At 54.0% G+C, this 1,697-nt stretch overlaps 1 annotated feature.

The window, feature by feature from the left end:
• Window positions 873–982: a silencer, noted in NCBI's record as "silent region_11924". NCBI's record gives its function as "represses an Ori minimal core promoter by ATAC-STARR-seq in GM12878 lymphoblastoid cells {active_cell/tissue: GM12878}" and the evidence as "EXISTENCE:reporter gene assay evidence [ECO:0000049][PMID:35858748]".

Raw genomic sequence — 1,697 nt, 5'->3', positions numbered from 1 at the left:
AAAAGAGTCCCCGGGTCTCAGCCTCCCAAAGGGTGACTCAGGAGCAGGCTCACGACTCAGCCAGGTTGGGGTCACTGGGATGGCCCAGGCCATGCACTGCTTCAGCTCTGGCATGGCCCATTTTTTATTCTGGAAGGGTTTCCTTTTTTTTTTTTTTTTTTTTTTTTGAGACAGAGTTTCGCTCCTGTTATCCAGGCTGGAGTGCAATGGCGCCATCTCAGCTCACTGAAACCTCCGCCTCTCAGGTTCAAGCGATTCTCCTGCCTGAGCCTACCCAGTAGCTGGGATTACAGGTGCCCACCACCACGCCTGGCTAATTTTTTGTATTTTTAGTAAAGACAATGTTTCACCATGTTGGCCAGGCTGGTCTCGAACTCCTGACCTCAGGTGATCCACCCACCTCGGCCTCCCAAAGTGCTGGGATTACAGGCATGAGCCACAGCACCCAGCCTATTCTGGGAGAGCTTCTATATAGAAATGTTGAAATCAACTGAAGCAAAGCAAAAGAGATTGTCTATTCCAAATAATGGAGGCTCAGGCCTCTCATGAACCTGTGCCCTGAGGAGCTGGGAAGCTTGGGAGTAGCTGCCAGCCTGAAACTACAGAGTTGTTGGGGTCTGCTCATCCCCAAATAGTTCTAGGGAGGCTGAACAGGGAGGGAGAAAGGGGATATCTCAGGAGTGGAGCATGTGCGAGGTTCTGTCCTCCTATCAGAAACAGAGCAGGAGAGAATTTGGGAATATAGAAGGAAGCCACAGTATGCTCAAAAAATAGTAAACCGAAAGCAAATAATAATCATAACAATAGGCCAAGCTAGAGCTAAGAATTAAGGAGAAAATACCAATGACATTTCTCAACACCTCCTGTGTGCCAGGCTTTGGGCTAGATGATCTCTCCACACGGTCTTGTGTAATACCACCAGCGCCCTGCAGGGTAGAAGTTACCACTCCTACTTCGCAGGTGAGAAGACTGCTCAGGACTGCATGCTGGAGCATGCTGGCTGCTGCTGGTGTGGCTTCTCTCTGGGCACCTTTGCTCCTTCCAGCACAGTCTCCTTGTTCTTGAGGTCAGTGGCCTCATGTTCTGGTTGGCTGCCGGCCCAGAGCAACCCCTCTCATGACAATCAGTCCCAATGCCTGCCCTTCCTCCCTCCAAGTTGTTCAGGCATCAGCATAGTCTTGGAACAACTCCCTCCTCAAAAGTGGCCCCCACTCACCAGTCACAGCAGCCAGAGGCTGGGTGTCGCCCTGGGCCCCGCTCACTGGCTGCATGCTGCCCACCACCAAGTCCCATCAGCTCAAATCCACCCACTTCTCAGCATCCCCATAGCCAGGGCGCAGGCCACAATCCCCGGCACCTGGATGGCTGCAAGCGACCCCCCCCACCAATAACTTCCCCACCCCTCGGCCGGAGTGAACCTCCCAAAAAACAAAACTGGTGCTGCTGCTTCCCTCTCACAGCTTGAGTGGCTTCTCATGGCTCCCAGGGTAGTCCTTAGAACCCCAGGCTTCCCAGGCCCTGCGCCTTCTGGCGGTGGCCCCTTCAGCCTCGGCTCTCACCCTGGCCTCCCTGAAATCATTCTGCCTTCCTGGGCCTCCAGCTCCTGCGCATGCCGATCCCCTCCCTGTGCTGAGTGAACAGCTGTTCAGGCCTTGTCTGATTCACCCAGACTCAGTTACGGCCTTCCTGAGCCCCCA

This window comes from Homo sapiens, chromosome 2 (genome assembly GCF_000001405.40).
Source record: "Homo sapiens chromosome 2, GRCh38.p14 Primary Assembly".
In the NCBI taxonomy this organism is placed as follows: domain Eukaryota; kingdom Metazoa; phylum Chordata; class Mammalia; order Primates; family Hominidae; genus Homo; species Homo sapiens.
Note: the sequence above shows the minus strand (reverse complement) of the source record. Positions and strands in the feature narration are given on the sequence as shown.